Source organism: Homo sapiens, chromosome 14 (assembly GCF_000001405.40).
Source record: "Homo sapiens chromosome 14, GRCh38.p14 Primary Assembly".
NCBI classification, from domain to species: domain Eukaryota; kingdom Metazoa; phylum Chordata; class Mammalia; order Primates; family Hominidae; genus Homo; species Homo sapiens.
This window is the reverse complement of record NC_000014.9, coordinates 64262351-64281046: the sequence shown is the minus strand read 5'-3', so window position 1 is coordinate 64281046 and position 18696 is coordinate 64262351. Positions and strand designations below refer to the sequence as shown.

At 38.7% G+C, this 18696-nt stretch overlaps 1 protein-coding gene across 12 annotated transcripts in view; it reads left to right on the top strand.

Annotated features, from left to right (window-relative positions):
• Positions 1 to 18696, top strand: part of ESR2 (estrogen receptor 2) — a 111907-nt gene that overhangs the window by 57567 nt on the left and 35644 nt on the right. For 11 of the 12 annotated variants that reach the window (NR_073496.2, NM_001291712.2, XM_047431076.1 and 8 more), the window contains 2 exons: positions 894 to 1066; positions 12136 to 12252. Coding sequence is in view for 10 of the 12 variants with exons in the window: in NM_001291712.2 (NP_001278641.1) it covers positions 894 to 1066; positions 12136 to 12252 (290 nt within the window). In the remaining 2 variants the exon portion in view is untranslated. The remainder of the gene's footprint in view (positions 1 to 893; positions 1067 to 12135; positions 12253 to 18696) is intronic. The other variant, NR_073497.1, reaches the window with a different exon arrangement.

The window sequence follows — 18696 nt, the reverse complement described above, 5'->3', positions numbered from 1 at the left end:
TGTTATTCCTCTTAAAGTTATTTTTATTTTATTTTTTTGAGATGGAGTCTCACTCTGTTGCCCAGGCTGGAGTGCAGTGGCACAGTCTTGGCTCACTGCAACCTCTGCCTCCCGGGTTCAAGCAATCTCCTGCTTCATCCTCCAAAGTAGCTGGGATTACAGGTGTGCACCACCATGTCTGGCTAATTTTTGTATTTTTAGTAGAGATAGGGTTTCACCTTGTTGGCCAAGCTGGTCTCGAACTTCTGGCCTCAGGTGATACGCCCACCTTGGCTCCCCAATGTGCTAGGATTACAGGCATGAACCATTGCGCCCAACCTGAAAGTTATTTTAAATCTAGACCTTTATCTGAAATTGCAGAGTGTGAGATGTTTGTTCTCCATTTAAATGGGAACTTCAAATGTCTGAAGGGCTGCTTAGCAATGCTGTTGGGAATGACTGATGTTTGGAAGTGGTTGAATGCCTTCACACCCATCCATGCAGCATTCGTGAACTCTAGTAACTACAGAAGACCAATGCATATCCTGCCTGTGGTTCAGACCTGTGGGTAAGATTTGATCTGGCCACTCCTTTCATTACACTTAGAGATGTAGCTCCCACCCCATGGCTATGACTGGTCTTCGGCAGTGACAAATGCTCATCAGCATCACGTGGATGGGCATAAACTCACCTACCCACTTTCAAACATTAGTCATTCCCCACAGCGTGGCTCTTTGTAGATATGATATCAGTATCAAAAGCTTTGCTGTATCAGATTTCCGGGAATATATTTACCAGGAACCCTGGAGGAAAAAGAGATTAAATTAGGCAATGTTCATGCTATTTTTTTTTCCTAGAAAGCCCTTCCTTTCCCTTTTATGCTCTGTTCAATGGATATTTTCTTTGCTCCCTAGAGAGACACTGAAAAGGAAGGTTAGTGGGAACCGTTGCGCCAGCCCTGTTACTGGTCCAGGTTCAAAGAGGGATGCTCACTTCTGCGCTGTCTGCAGCGATTACGCATCGGGATATCACTATGGAGTCTGGTCGTGTGAAGGATGTAAGGCCTTTTTTAAAAGAAGCATTCAAGGTACAAGAGAATTGTTAACTGCTTCTTTAGTTTCCTACTTTTGATTTCAAACAATTTTGCAGAGATGACTTGGCAGAAATGTCACTACTGGCCTGTTTGGCACACAAAGTATTTGATGAGCAGTTCAGAGGATCATGTGTGTTTGGAAGTGGGTTGGGTGGTGGGGTGGAATTGCAGATTTCTACCCCAGAACCCCAAGATTATACAGCCAACTCGAATGGGTCTTACCCCTCGTTCACCCACATGGGTGTTGGATAGAAGACATCGAGTTACAACCTTGTGAAGATGTCTCTTGGAAAAAATGTGCTCACAAGGAGTTGCAAAGATTGTTTCTTTCTTTTACTTAAATTTAATATATAGCATGCTTAACAGTCATGATGGTGGGCTGGCTCCTGAGGAAGAAAGAATAAACACATTTTTTGGAAATGGTCAGAAATCAGGAATTCAGCTACAGTGGACTTTGAGAATTGATCTAGACACATTTCTTCCCCTAGGCTAGGAGGGTCTCAGTTCACAATCCCCTTGTTTTCTGGGCTGTGTTTAGATTATTTCCCTAACTTTCTCTAAACGCCTTCTGGATTTTTTTTTTTAAATCAACTTGTTGATGAAAAGAATCAAACTCTGTAAAATATTTGAAGAGATTTATTCTGAGCCAAATATGAGTGACAAATGGCCTGTGACATAGCCCTCAGGAGATCTGAGAACATGTGCCCAAGGTGGTCAGGCCACAACTTGGTCTTATACATTTTAGGGAGACATAAGGCATTAATCAATGCATGTAAGATGTACATTGATTCAGCCTGAAAAGGCAGGACACCTGAAAGCAGGGGCTTCCAAGTCACAGGCAGTTCAAAGATTTTCTGATTGGCAATTGATTGAAAGAATTATTATCAGTAGGAAGCAATGATTGGGTTACAATAAGGGATTGTGGAGACCAAGGTTTTATCATGCAGATGAAGCCTCCAGGTAGCAGGCTTCAGAGAGAATAGATTGTAAATATTTCTTAGGGGTCTTAAAGGGTCTGTTCTATCAGTGATTCCAAAAGGGGAGGGAGGGTATAATGAACCATGTCTGTCTCCCTTGTTCCATCATGGCCTAAACTTATTTTTCAGGTTAACTTTGTAATGCCCTTGGCCAAGAGGAGGGACCCATTCAGATGGTTGAGGGGCCTTAGAATTTTATTTTTTGGTTTATAAACTTCAAGTTGTGCACCCCTGATTTCAAGGCTGGTCAGCTCATCTCCCTGCATGTGTCTTTGCTACACTCCTTCTCTCGTACCAGCCCTGATTTGCTGAAGTCACTTTCTTGCTTACTCTTGTTTTCTCTATTTGCCCCATAACCTGTCCCTCAACTGCTCCCTCCCAGGCAACACCCTATGTTTCCATCTGAAAGCTCCCTTCCTTTTTCTATCAAAGCCCCAATGCTTTGTTCTTTGCCAGTTAAGAAAAGCAACGTTGAGAGAATTCATAGTGTGTAAATGGCAAATAGCAATTTACTAAATTAACTCACCCATTGATAACTCTAAGAGGATGTTTTACCTTAAGCAGAGAAATACTGATAGAATCCAGGATATGGTGAGGAGTGAAATGTTGGTAGTCACCTTCCTACCTGTCCCCTGAAATTCACCCTGTATGAATGGCAGCCTCTTTGTCCTGGATTTTATAATTACTAGCTCTGCGACTTCACCTCCTAGCCTGTTTCCTCCTCTGTGAAATGGAGATACTCATAGGGATTTTCTAAAGATGAAATAAGGTTGATTATATGAAAACATATTCAGTGCTCAAATATTTTATTTGTGACAATCTTAACAGTAGATTATAAGGCCAAGTCCATTTCCTGGCTATATGATAAGAACAATATTGATTTTCTGAAATTCTGAACTGAATTCTTGATACGATGACTATTTTGTATCTTGCTGAGTTTCTAGGATTTTACCCCTTAAGAACGTTTGGACCTATTACTACTAACCATATCTTTTAAAAAGAGATCCTTCTTTTTTTTTTTTGCTTTTGGGGAAACATTGGTCTGCTTGAAACATCTTTGACCCCTGAGACTACAGCTAATAACAATTGAAAGTAAATTTCCTTTGCTTCTCTATGTTGTTTCTTCCTTCCTGCTGCATCAGACAGGAATGTCAAATTCTAAATGTGCAAAGAGGAAAGAGTTAAAGCTGTTACAGTTGTACAGTTGTAGTGCCTAAATGATCCTTTCTTTGCATGCTTCCTGTCTTTGATATAAGTGCATTACAGTAACTGAAAGTGGCCACTTATTTTTAAAATTGTCTCAAATAGGCCAGGATGGTACAGTATTGAGAAATTCCTTGCATGTAACTTTTTTTTTTTTTTTTTTTTTTTTGGAGATGGAGTCTCATTCTGTCACCCAGGCTGGAGTGCAGTGGCACAATCTCGGCTCACTGCAAGCTCTGCCTCCCAGATTCACACCATTCTCCTGCCTCAGACTCCCAAGTAGCTGGGATTACAGGAGCTGGCCACCACACCCTGCTAATTTTTTGTATTTTTAGTAGAGACAGGGTTTCGGCATGTTAGCCAGGATGGTCTCGATCTCCTGACCTTGTGATCCGCCCGCCTCGGCCTCCCAAAGTGCTGGGATTACAGGTGTGAGCCACCGCACCTGGCCCATTCTTATGTTTTTTATAATTTTAAACTTGTCTTGCTAACTTGATTTATAAGCTAATTGACCATATCTTAGTCATGTACCTGTCCCCTTCACTGTACAAATGCACTGGAAGCTGTGTTGTGCTTGCTTTTCCATTGATACTTTGTTGGCTTCTTCACACAATGAGTTGCCATCAGAGTGATAAGTGCTGTTGTTTCTCTACTGGGTTATGGAGCACAGAGGAAGGAGGACATAGGGAGAAGGACCTCATCACTTCATCTGGTCCAGATGACAGCATGGCTTATTTTTTGAGCTTATCCTTTACTTTTTGTTCTCTTTCCTATTGGTGTTCATTTAACAAATATTTATTGAGCATTGTACCAGGCTCTACGGATGCAGTGGTGAACAAGACAATAGATTATAGATTCCATGAGGGCAAGGATTTTTGTCCATTTTGTTCACTAGTGGCACTTACCAATTCCTTGAATATGATTTTTCAAAATTAATTGGGCTTATACACAGAGTTCTGTATCATTTTTCACTTAATATTGTCGTATAAGCATTTCTGTTGTTAAATTTCCAGAGACCCTTTTCACAACTGCACAACTGTGTAATATTCTATCTTATGATCAGATTTAATTTATTTAACTCTTTATTATTGAAGGCCCTATCAATTATTTTCATTGTTTTAATGCTATGGTTACTTTATTTGTTCATGAAGTTTTGAAAAAAATAAGTTTCTCTGGATATGTTTTTAGAACAAATCTGTGGGGTCAGAGTGCATTAATGTTTAAAGTTCTTGACAGATGTTTTCAAGTGTTCAAGTCTTAAGAAGGTTGTACAGACTTGCTCTTTTACCAGCAGTGTGAGTGTCGCTTTTTCCAACCTCTTGGTAGCATTGACTCTTATCAAAAAGAAAAAAACCTTGCTACATTGATACGTGATGTATAGTATCTTTTGGTTTCAATTTGCTTCTCTTTATTAGTGAGGTAAATGTTTTCTCATAAATCTATCTGCCATTTGTATTTTCTCTTTTATCTTCTTTATTCAGAGATTTTGCCCGTTTTTATATTGGGTTCTGGCATTTGCTTGATAAATTTATTGTGTGCTTTATATATTAACCTATTATTACATGTATGACAAATATTTTTTCCACTTGACTCTGATTTTGATATGCAGAAATAGTTAATCTTTAAATAGTCAAATATTACCAACTTTGATAGTTTTGTGTATAGTTTTTAAGCCTAAAAAAAGTCCTTTCATACCCAGGCATTATATAAACTTTTGCGCATATTTTGTTATTTAATAGTTTGTTTTTACATTTTATTATTTAATTCAAAAGAAATTTATTTTGGCATACTGAATGAAATAACCAAATGTATTTATCTCTCGTTAATTTTCTCCACATCATTTTACTTAATAAATCCATTCATTTTTCATTGATTTAAAATATGGGAGCCAATTTTTAAAAGTTGAGTTTGAGATATAATATGCATACAATAAAATTTACCTATTTTCATTACTGGTAATAGTAAGTACATAGAAAACCACAGAATAATATAACACTGTTAATTGTGGTTTGTAACCTCATATTTTGAGTAGAAAGTCTAAAGGAAGAACCAATGAAAAACAATAACTACAACTTTTTTTTTCTTTTTTTTTGAGACAGAGTCTCACTCTGTCATCCAGGCTGGAGTGTAATGGTGCAATCTCGGCTCACTGAAACCTCCGACTCCCAGGTTCAAGGGATTCTCCTGCCTCAGCCTCCCAAGTAGCTGGGATTACAGACACCCACCACCACGCCTGGCTAATTTTTGTATTTTTAGTAGAGATGGGGTTTCACCATATTGGCCAGGCTGGTCTCGAACTCCTGACCTCAGGAGATCAGCCCACCTCAGACACATGTAGATTGAAAATAAAGGGATGGAAAAATATTTCATGCAAATGGAAACCAAAAAAGAGCAGGAGTGGCTATACTTAGACCAGACCAAATAGAGTTCAAGACAAAAACTATAAAAAGAGACAAAAAAGGTCACTAATAATAAAGATGTCAATTCAGCAAGAGAATATAACAATTGTAAATATGTCTGGAGCACACAGATATATAAAGCAAATATTATTAGAGCTAAAGAGAGAGACAGACTGATATGGTAATAGCTGGACACTTTAACACTCCACTTTCAGCATCGAACAGATCATCCAGACACAAAATCAACAAAGAAATGTCAGATTTAATCTGCACTAAAGACCAAATGGACCTAATAGATATTTACAGAATATTTCATCCAGTGGCTGCAACATACACATTCTTTTCCTCAGCACATGGATCATTCTGAAGGATATACCATATATTAGGCCACAAGACAAGTGTTAAAACATTCAAAAAAACTGGAATCAAATCAAGCACCTTCTTTGACCACAATGGAATAAAACTAGAAATCAATAAAGAATTTTGGAAACTATACAAACATGGAAATTAAACCATATACTCCTGAACAACCAGTGTGTCAATGAAGAAATTAAGAAGGAAATTAAAAATTTCTTGAAACAAATGGTAATGGAAACAACATACCAAAACCTATAGGATACAGTGAAAGCAGTACTAAGAGGAAAGTTTATAGCTTAAGTGCCTACATCTAAAAAGTAGAAAATCTTGAAGTAAACAACTTAATGATGTATCTTAAAGAACTAGAAAAGCAAGAGCAAGCCAAACCCAAAATTAATAGAAGAAAAGAAATATTCATAAAAAGATCAAAGCAGAAATAAATGAAATTGAAACCAAGAAAACAACACAAAAGATTGACAAAATATGAAGGTTTTTTTGAGAAAATAAACCTGACAGATCTTTAGCCAGACTAATTTTTTTAAAAAAAAGATAGAAGAGTCGAATAAAATCAGATGAAAAAGGAGATGTTACAACTGATACCGCAGAAATCTAAAGGATCATTATAGGCTATTATAAGCAACTATATGATAATAATTTGGAAAACCTAGAAGAAATGGATAAATTCCTAGACCACATACATACTGTTAAGATTGAACTATGAAGAAATCCGAAACCTGAACATACCAGTAACAAGTAACAAGATTGAAGCTGTTATAAAAAGCCTCCCAGCAAGCTGGGCACAATGGCTCATACCTATAATCCCAGCACTTTGGGAAGCCAAGGCAGGAGGATCACCTTAACCCAGGAGTTCAAGATTAGCCTGGACAACACACAGAGATCCCTATCTCTACAAAAAAAAAAAAAATTACAAATTAGCCAGGTGTGGTGGTATGCATCTGTAGTCCCAGCTCTTCAGGAGGCTGAGGTGGGAGGATAGCTTGGGACCGGGAAGTCAAGACTGTGGTAAGACAAGATTGCACCACTGCATTCTAGCCTGGGTGATGGAGTGTGATCAGGTCTCAAAAAAAAAAAAAAAAAGTCTCTCAGCAAAGAAAAGCCAGGACTGATGGCTTCATCCAGAATTTTACCAAACATTTAAAGAAGAACTAATGCCAATCCTATTCAAACAATTCTGAAAAATAGAGAAGGAGGAGGGAATAATTTCAAAATCATTCCGTGAGACCAGTATTACCGTGATACCAGAACCAAAGAAACATCAAAAGAATATGACAGACCAATATCCCCAATGAATATTGATGTAAAAATCCTCAATAAAATACAAACCAAATGCAACAACACGTTAAAAAGATTATTCATCATAACCAGGTGGAATTTATCCCAGGGATGCAAGGATGGTTCAACATATGCAAATTAATTTGATGCACCATATCGACAGAATGAAGGTGGAAAACCATATAATTTCAATTGATGCTGAAAAGGCATTTGATAAAATTCAACATCCCTTCATGATAAAAACCCTTAAAAAACTGGGTATAGACAGAATATACCTCAGCCCAATAACAGACATATAACAGACCCACAGCTAGTATCACACTTAATGGAGAAAAACTGAAAGCCTTTCCTCTATATGGAACATGACGAGGATGCCCACTTTCACCACTGTTATTCAACATAGTACTGGAAGTCCTAGCTAGAGCAATCAGAAAAGAGAAATAAAGGGCATCTAAATTGGAAAGGAAGAAGTCTAATTATCCTAGTTTGCTGATGATCTTATATTTGGAAAAATTGAAAAATTCCACCAAAAAACTATTAGATCTAATAAATTCAGTAAAGTTGCAGGATCAGTAGCATTTCTATATGCCAACAGCAAACAATCTGAAAAAAAAATCTAAAGTGATCTCATTTACAGTAGCTACAAATAAAATACCTGGGAATTAACCAAATAAGTGAAAGTTCTCTACAATGAAAACTATAAAACACTGGTGAAAGAAATTGAAGAGGACAAAAAAAATGGAAAGATATTCCATGTTCATGGAATGGAGGAATTAATATGTCCATACTACCCAAAGCAATCTACAGATTCAGTGCAATTTTATCAAAATACCAATGATATTTTCACAGAAATAGAAAAAACAACCCTAAAATTTGTATGGAACCACAAAAGATCCAGAATAACCAAAGCTATTCTGAGCAAAAATATCAAAACTGTGGAAGAATCACATTACCTGACTATAAATTATACCATAGAGCTATAGCAACCAAAACAACGTGGTACTAGCCTAAAACAGACATAGGGATCAATGGAACAGAATAGAGAACCCAGAAACAAATCCATACATCTACAGTTAACTCATTTTTGAAAATAGTCTCTTCAATAAATGGTGCTGGGAAAACTGGATATCCATGTACAGAAGAATAAAACTAGATCCCTATCTCTCACCATATACAAAAATCAAGTCCAGATGGATCAGTGACTTAAATCTAAGGCCTCAAACTATGAAACTACTAAAAGAAAACACGGGGAAACTCTCCAGGACATTGGGTGGGGCAAATATTTCTTGAGTAATAATACCACACAAGCACAGGCAACCAAAGTAAAAGTGGACAAATGGAATCACATCAAGTTAAAAAACTGCTTGCATGGCAAAGGAACAATCAATGAAGTGAAGAGACAACACACAGAATGGGAGAAAATATCTGCAAACATCTGACAAGGTATTAACAATCAGAATATAGAAGGAGCTCAAACAACTCTACAAAAAAACTTAAAAATCCAATTTAAAAATGGGCAAAAGAGCTGAGTAAACATTTCTCAAAAGAAGATGTACAAATGGCAAATGGGTATATGAAAAGGAGTTCAACATCATTAATTATCAGAGAAATGCAAATCAAAACTACAATGAGATACCATCTTACCCCAAAGTAGCTTATATCCAAAAGATGGGCAATAACAAATGCTAGTGAGGATGTAGAGAAAAGGGAACCCTGGTATACTGTTGGTCAGATTGTAAATTAGTACAACTACTATGGAGAACAGTTTGAAGTTTCCTCAAAAAACTACAAATAGAGCTACCATATGATCCAGCAATCCCACTGCTGGGTATGCACCCAAAAGAAAGGAAATCAGTATATCGAAGAGATGTCTGCAGTCCCATGTTTGTTGCAGCGCTGTTCACAATAGCCAAGATTTGGAAGCAACCTAAGTGTCCATCCACAGGTGAATATAGATAAAGAAAATGTGGAACATATACACCACTATTCGGCCATAAAATGAATGAGATCCTGTCACTTGCAACAACACAGATGCAACTGGAGGTCATGTTAAGTGAAATAACCAGACACACAAAGACAAACCTCCCATGTTCTCACTTATTTGTGGGAGCTAAAAATAAAAACAATTGCAGTGCCTCATGCCTGTAATCCTAGCACTTTGGGAGGTCGAGGCAGGCAGATTGCCTGAGCTCAGGAGTTCGAGACCAGCTTGGGCAACACGGTGAAACCCTGTCTCTACTAAAATACAAAAAATTAGCTGGGTGTGGCGGCATGCGCCTGTAGTCCCAGCTACTCGGGAGGCTGAGGCAGGAGAATTGCTTGAACCCGGGAGGTGGAGGTTGCAGTGAGTCGAGATCATGCCACTGAACTCCAGCCTGGGTGACAGAGAGAGACTCCGTCTCCAAAAAAGAAAAAGAAAGAAAACAATTGAACTTGTGGGGATAAAGTAGCAGGTTGGTTGCCAGAGGCTAGGAAGGGTAGTGGGAGTGGGGAAAGTGGGAGTCCCAGCTACATGGGAGGCTGAGATGGGAGGATTGCTTAAGCTCAGGAGGTGGAGGTTGCAGTGAGTTGAGATCACACCACTGCAACTCCAGCCTGGGCAACAGAGGGAGACCCTGTCTCGGAAAAAAAAAAAGATGATAAATCAAAGTATTTTAATAAAATTGGGCCATACTAGAGATGTTATTGTTTGAAATCAAATATATGAAGTATAGTTAATAATATAAGTGTAATAGAAGAAAAGGAGCCTTAGAAAGCTTGAAAAACATCGTTGTACTTCATATACATCTTCTTTGCTTACATTATAATGGACAATGCTGCAACAAACATGGAAGTGCAGATATCTCTTTGCAACATGAGAGATTCATGTAGATCTAAGAGACTGTGAAGACTGTTTCAATATTGGAGTTACAATTAGCTTTTTAATTACCTCTTCTGGCCAGCTGTGGTGGCTCACGCCTGTAATCCCAGCACTTTGGGAGACCAAGGCGGGTGGATCACCTGAGGTCAGGAATTCGAGACCAGACTGGCCAACACGGCCAAACCCCGTCTCTACTAAAAATACAAAAATTAGCTGGGCGTGGTGGTGGGTGCCTGAATCCCAGCTATTTGGGAGGCTGAGGCAGGAGTATCACTTGAACCCGGGGGGCAGAGGTTGCAGTGAGTCGAGATCGTGCCACTGCGCTCTAACCTAGGCAACAGAGGAAGGTTCTGTCTCAAAAAAAAAAAAATTACCTTTTCATTGTTTGCTAATGTGTAGAATTCTGCATGTAACATGTCCAGTTTAAAGAATGATTATAGAGCAAATCCCTGTGTAACCAGCGCTCAAACAATGAAATAGAATATAATGGCAGCCCAGAATCCCTTTGGGTGGTCCCTCCTGCCACACCTACTTCCCTCCCTGCAGAGGTGGGACAGTCCTCCTTTCTGCCTTCCTTGCTGTGTATGGTTTTACCACCTACACGTGCATCCCTAAACGATGCAGGTTGATTTTCTCTGTTTTTGAACTTTATGTGTTCATGTCTTCTACATATATTTTGTGACTTTTTTCTTTTATGACTTGCTCATTTCATTTATCATTGAGATTCATTTATTCTCCGCACTGAAATTCTGGTTCATTATAGGCTTAATGTAAGATGTTGAGGCCATATTGTTTATTAGAAAGGCACTAAAATGCCCTATTCACTTTCACTTTTGCTTCTCATCTATTTTATTATAATTTCTATTTCTTAACCCTTTCTCAAACCCATGTAGCTGTCCTCATCCTCCCTACCAACACCCCATCCAGACATCTCTCATTTGCACAACTACAGCAGGCTGTCATCTGGTCTCCTGGCCTCATCAGTTTTGCTGCCTCTGATTGGTTCTTCGTACTGCATCTGAAATAATTTTTGAAATATAAATATTCTTAGCTCTTCCTTGCATAAGAGAATTAAAAGTACCATTGTCTTAGAGATTGCTATATAACTAACAAGTTCAAACTCTTAGGATTTTACTACAATGGGCCTTATTTTCTGTACTTCTGTGTCTTTGAGTTGTTTAGAGTAGCTCTACTTCATAAACTTGGTTCTGGGCTTTTGTGGGAGGTCAGGTCTGTTCCACATGTCCCCACGTTCTTCTTGGACCAGTGGCTACCTCACAGGAGCTCAAGAGGCCAAGCCAAACTGTTGGAGCAGCACATCTATTGATATATCATTGGCTATAAAAAGTCCTGTGGTCAAGCCCAACATCAACTGGTAGGGAAGTGTTTGCTCTCTGCGCACTCTAGTACACTGCAGGGTCGCAAGGCTGAGGGAGAGAATGAAGAATTGAGAACGGTAATCCACCACAACTCTTGTCAATAGCAGTACTTTCTGTCATTATTTAGATTGCTAATTTCTTTATTTGTTCCTTTTGTTATTTTATTTGACTATGAATTCCCATAAAAATATTGTATTAAACCCGAAAGAGGGATATATGTAAAAGAATATAAGAAGTTGAATTTGATGACTTGATTTACAACTCTTGAGTTCTGTGACTTGGAGCAAATCAATTTAATGTTAGTCTTATTTTCCACATCCAAAGGATATATTTTTATATCTCTCTTTTGAGAATTCTAAGAATATGCAGAGAATAACATATTAGTAAAAAACCAGGATATTGAAATGTTCCTAGGTCTCCTTTACTCATTAACAAGGTGACAATGTAGCTTGACTTTGGCTTTGTACCTGTACTGGTCATTAAGAAGATGTCCCCTATCTCTCAGCTGGAAAGTGTTATCAGTGTTGTTGACCAGGAAGAGATTTAACTAAGAGATCATAGCAATAATCTTTTTTTCCCTCCCACTCTGCTATAGGACATAATGATTATATTTGTCCAGCTACAAATCAGTGTACAATCGATAAAAACCGGCGCAAGAGCTGCCAGGCCTGCCGACTTCGGAAGTGTTACGAAGTGGGAATGGTGAAGTGTGGTGAGTGCTTGCTTCCCTTCTTATTGAATATGGGCCTTGCTAAAAGCCCTGTCCTCTGAGGAACTGGGGACAGGTAGCCGGGAAAAGAGAAGATTTGGGACATAGTAATTAAGTATTTGCGTGTTGTCACATTGGAGGGGGCATTGACTTATCCACAGTAACTGCAGAGGACAGAGCTGGGGTGAATGGGAACAGATTATGGGAGGCAGATTTTGGCCCCAGGTAGAGAAGAGCTTTCTAGAGTTCAAGTGGTCTGACCACAGAATAGGCCACCAGATGGGTTAGGGGACTTCTAGCCACTGGAATCCTCAAACAGGGCTGGGTGGCCGTCTGTCTGTGATCTTGAAAAGTCCAGTTCTAAGGATGAAGTCGTGGTAAATGTCCATGGTTAAAACTCGTGACAAAAAAGTAGGATATCTTGTGGGTTACTGGGGTAGCCATGGGGAGGCTCACACCTATCCCCTCGTCTAGCTTTCTAGAAGTAGAAAAATATGTAGGAGTCAGAAACATAATGGAACTATGAAAAGTACATACAGCATAGATTTTGTTCTATGACAGTCATAGGTGTATACATATGTGTATTTAACATATTCACATACATATATTCACATGTATTTTGTACACTCACATACATTCGCATATATTTTATGCACAAAGAAAAGTGAGCACTTTGGTATATAACTGACAAAGATGCCAACACCCAGCTCTCTCCACCTGGCTAGATTTTGGTTCACTTGTCTGTACTCACTTGCTTGTTTATATGTACTCAGAGCAGTTCTGCCTGCACTTATTCTTCTGCTAGCCAGTATTTTACCTGTGGTTAATTGTAATTTCTCTGTGTAATTATTTGAAAATTTAAAACAAAAATCCATCACTTTACTCTCTGACAATTTCTTTTTTTTTTTTTTTTTGAGATGGAGTCTCGCTCTGTCACCCAGACTGGAGTGCAGTGGCCCATTCTCAGCCCACTACAAGCTCTGCCTCCCGGGTTCACATCATTCTCCTGCCTCAGCCTCCCAAGTAGCTGGGACTACAGGCACCCACCACCACGCCTGGCTAATTTTTTTTTTTTTTGTATTTTTAGTAGAGATGGGGTTTCATCATGTTAGCCAGGATGGTCTCGATCTCCTGACCTCGTGATCTGCCTGCCTTGGCCTCCCAGAGTGCTGGGATTACAGGTGTGAGCCACTGTACCCAGCCCTCCCTGACAATTTCTTAGTAGCTTTGCCTTGTGAGCATTCTCTGCCCTTTTCTTTTCTCTGTGTATGTAACAGATTAGAACCCTCAGCTATTATAGTTCAGTTACAGCAGAAGTTCTCTTCATCTGATCATGCTTCTCTGGCTTCCTAGAGTCACTGATGATCTTCATTTCCTCTGTAGAACATCCTGCCAGTGCCCATAGCCTCACAGCGTGTATTATTGGTTATTCTCTCAAACACCTAAACATTTCCATTCCCACCGCTTCACATTATCCTTGTCAGAAACCGGTGGGCTTCTTTTCAAACCTGTTTCTACTCACTGTAATTGTTACATTATAAAATTTAATTAAAATTTACTCAAACATATTATGAATAGGAAAAGACAAGTTTGGTTTTTTTCTGTGAAAGTTTAGTTAAGGCCGGGTGCGGTGGCTCACGCCTGTAATCCCAGCACTTTGGGAGGCCAAGGCATGCAAATCATGAGGTCAAGAGATCAAGACCATCCTGGTCAACAGGGTGAAACCTTGTCTCCACTAAAAATACAAAAATTAGCCGGGCGTGGTGGCATGTGCCTGTAGTCCCAGCTACTTGGGAGGCTGAGGAAGGAGAATAGTTTGAACCTGGGAGGTGGAGCTTGCAGTGAGCCGAGATCGCGCCACTACACTCCAGCCTGGTGACAGAGTGAGACTCTGTCTGGGGGCGGGGGGAGGAGGAAGTTTAGTTGAAAGTTTTGAATAAAATCTTAAAGGACTAATAGCTATTGAGATAGGTATGGGTGAGACTGGGGGAAAAAAACCCATAAACCTTGGGAGATCCTGAATTCAGAATTCTTTAGAAGTATCTAGGTTCTTGCTCTGTTTTTGTTTTAAAGAGGCTGAAACTGAAAATCCAGAGATAATATCTTATGTGTATGTTTATGCAGAAAAGTGACTTTGTCTAATTGGCCCAGATGCTTAAAGAGAAAGCCTTGGCACTCTGACAAAAGATTGCAAATAAATGTTTTAAGTTTTAAGTTAAACTATTTTAAAGTGAGTATGTGTGTGTGTTTAAAAAATGATTTCCAAGTTAGTCTTAAGAATGCTTTTATTATACTAGGATCCGTTGCACAGCTATTGCCCTCATGGCTCAAGGCAGTGTATGCAGGGAAGAGCATGGAGGTTGGATCCCATAGAGTCTATGTTTCATTTTCGTTTCATCACTTCCTGCTGACTGTAACTGTGCTCAAACTACTGAATCACCTCTTTGGCCCTTGGTTTTCATGTCTCTGAACAGAGATATCTGCTTCACTTGGTTTTGTGAACAATAAGTATGAAAACATATATGAAGACTTAGCACAATATCTGACACTCAATTTTAGTTTTCCTTCCATTCTCTCTCCTTCCCTGAAAAACTCATATGAGCTTTGATACAACACTGTTTCATGAGACAGAGTACAGAGGGATAGTTAAAGAAGCTTTCATAGAAAAGGGAATGAGAGAAAGGTTGTTGTATTTAGCCAGAAAGTCTAAGAAAAGACTGTATTCTCTTTGGAGATTATGGAAGAAATGAGATGGGTTGTTGCACATATACAATGGGATATTTTGCCCTTCACTGACCATAGAGAAAGATCATTAGAGATGAACTTTCTTAACTCTGTCTCTCTCCTTTCCCATCACTCTTCTTATCTGCCTTCCCCAAAACCCTCTATGCATGCTTTTTCTTCTATCAGGTTTGGAGGACTAGAGATTCTACCTGCTTGTTGGATCCTCCTGCACCATCCTGCTTCTTTTATTTTGAAACCATGTAGTCTGTTATCACCCTTTTCTTCTGAATTTCTGATCTTGTCTTTTCTACTGAAGTATGGATGTGGTCATATAATGGTAGGACAACACCCACCTAGACTAACTTTATGGATGAAACTTCATTATAAGGATATACTGAAATGTAAGGAGCCAGGAAATCCCTCTGAATAGCCATGTATTTGGCCTATATCCCCATATTGGGACAATAGCTCAACATATTTTGGGTGCCATATCTTTATATACCTGCTGTATACTCTTCTGTGAAAGGGATTTGATAGGTGGGTAGTATAAAATAGTGGTTAAAAGCACCAGCTCTGGATTTAGGCTACTGCTTGGGTTTAGATCCTGCTTCTGCTATTTTCTAGCTGTGCCATCTTAGACAAGTTATTTGAGCTTATGTTTGGTTCCTCTTCTGTACATTGGAGACAGTAATAGTTCCTGTACTGTAGGGTAGCTGTCAGGACATGTGCAATATGCAATGCCTGGTGCATAGAAGCTTCCAGTAGACATTAGCTGCCATTTAGTGTCATTTATCACTACGATCATCATCATCTTTGGCTGGGGCTATTTACCACTGCCTAATATGGAGCACTCGATTTGGTGGAGCTGCTCATTAAGCTCACTCAGAGGCAGCTGCCTAGGTTACAGTGTCAAAGCCACAACACTAGAAACATCCTTGATAGAAAAATGAGCTCCTTGTCAAGGGCTTTATTGAGTCTAGAACCCCCAGAATTCACTACAGGACCTAGAATGTTAGACTTTGTCAGTGAAAATTTGTCAAGTAAATTTGAACGTATGAATTCAAAATCTCTCACTTTGGGTATGTAAAGGGTATATAAATCTGTTTTGTAAATTCCTTATCCTTATATACTCTATACTCTACAAAAGAGAAATGTATGATCAGAAAGGTGCTTTTTTTTTTTTCTTTTTTTTTTTTTGAGACAGGGTATCACTCTGCTGCAGCCCAGGCTGGAGTGCAGTGGTGCAATCTTGGCTTACTGCAACTTTTACCTCCTCGGGCTCAATTGATTCTCCCACCTCAGCCTCCCGAGTAGCTGGGACTACAGGTGTGTGCACCACCATGCCTGGCTAATTTTTGTATTTTTTGTAGAGACAGGATTTCACTATGTTGCCCAGGCTAGTCTTCAACTCCTGGGCTCAAGTGATCCCCTTGCCTCAGCCTCTCAAAGTGCTGGGGGATTACAGGCATGAGCCACCTTGCCTAGCAGAAAGGTGCTTTTTAAAACTATACATTTTGCAGCAAACCGCCATGGCATGTGCATACCTATGTAACAAACCTGCATGTTCTGCACATGTATCCCAGAACCTAAAGTATATTAAAAAAATTAAGAAAAACATACATTTTGCTCCATTTTATCCTGGGTGTATAATTGACCTTAGCATTCTGCTTGATTACTAATAAAATGAATTGTATTTTAGGCCTTTAATTCTTTTAGCAGTAAATTTGGTTCAAATTTTCTGAATAAATAGAGCCCTTTCTTCTACTATAACTAGTCAATGTTAAGAGGAAATTCTGACAAATTTTCCTGGGAGCCAATAATTTAAATTTGCTCACATTTTCTAACTAATATTTATTTTTAAAAATGTAAACAATTGATTTAGTGAATAAACATAATGATGGGTGTATAAAACCAAGCATTTTGCAGATTTCAACTTTTAGGGTTTCTTTTTTTAAGGGAAATTCATATAAAAGTTATAACCATGCTAATGACATCCTTACTTACAACATGTCTTTCTTAATTTCCATTTTACATTTTTTGTCTTTAACCGATGAAAACTTATAAAGATGTTGGTGCTCAAATGTATAGGGATTTGGAAGTTATATTTTTGTTGTTGATTTCCATTTTTCTTATCGTCAGAGAATATGATCTGAATAATACCTATTTTAAGATTTTCTTCATTGCCTAGCATGTGATAATTTTTGCAAAATATCTATGGCCTTTGTAGATCAAGCTTGTTAATTATGTGGTTCAAATATTCTGCATTCTGACTTTTTGCTCTTTCAGCTGTTGAGAGAGAGATTTAAATAGCCCGTTATAATACTGCATCTGTCAGTTTCTCTTTTTCTTTCAGTTACTTTTTGTATTGTGTTTGGAGGCTGTGTTTTATTGTTTGTCTATTTATTTATTTATTTATTTATTTTTTCAACCCAAGTCTTGCTCTGTCACCCAGGCTGGAGTGCATGGCACGGTCTCGGTTCACTGTGCCTCCTGGGTTTGTGCGACTCTCCTGCCTCAGCCTCTTGAGTAGCTGGGACTACAGGAATGCACCACCATGCCTGGGTAATTTTTGTATTTGTAGTAGAGATGGGGTTTTTCCATTTTGGCCAGGCTGGTCTCAAACTCCTGACCTCAGGTGATCCGCCCACCTTGGCCTCCCAAATTGCTGGGATTACAGGCATGAGCCAGCGCACCTGGCCTTTGTTGTTTTGAAGTATATGAGTTTAGAATTATTTATCTTTTTAAAATATTCTAGCGATGAGTCTCCTTATCTATAATAATAATTTTTGCCTTAAAGTTTATTTGTCTGGTATCAATAGAGTAATGTCAATTTATTTGGTTAATTTTGCCTGTTAAATATTTTTCTATCTGTCTACTTTGTTTTTCTATATGTTAGGTATATCTCTTACACCTAATCTATGTCTAGATTTAAAAATATGTATAATTTCAGAGTCACTCTTAAATGGTCAATTTGGTATTTTTTGTTTATTGTGATAACTGATATTTGGGTTCATTTCTATCATCTTATTTTTTGATTTAAAAAATTTTATTATGTATTTTCTACTTCTTCCCTTTTAGGAGTTGATCACATTTTTATGTTTTCTTTTTCTTCTTTTGCTAGTTTAAAAGTCATACATTCTGTTTCAATTCCCTTTTATCTTTTGAGACAGAGTCTCGCTGTGTCACCCAGGCTGGAGTGCAGTGGTGTGATCTTGGCTCACTGCAGCCTCTGCCTCCCAGGTTCAAGTGATTCTCCTGCCTCACCTTCCTAAACAGCTAGGATTACAGGCATTTGCCACCATGCCCAGCTAATTTTTGTATTATTAGTAGAGATGGGGTTTCACCATGCTGCCCAGGTTGGTCTTGAACTCCTGGCCTCAAGTGATCCGTCCCCTCCCGCCCCACCCGCCGAAACCACCTTTGGCCTCCTAAAGTTCTGGGATTACAAGTGTGAGCCACCATGTTTGGCCATGTTTCAATTCCTTTAATGACGTTTATGTTTTGTAACGTGTTCTTGATTAATTTGAGAATTTAAGCTTCTATCTTCCCAAAAAAGAATCTTAGAAATTCTAACCAAAATCATTCCTCTCTGATTTTGCATGTTATTGTTTGTTATTTTGGTTCCACCTTGTTTCTATATCACTAAAACTTAATTCTTGGGCCGGATGTGGTGGCTTATGCCTGTAATCCCAGCACTTTCAGAGGCCAAGGCAGGAGGATCAC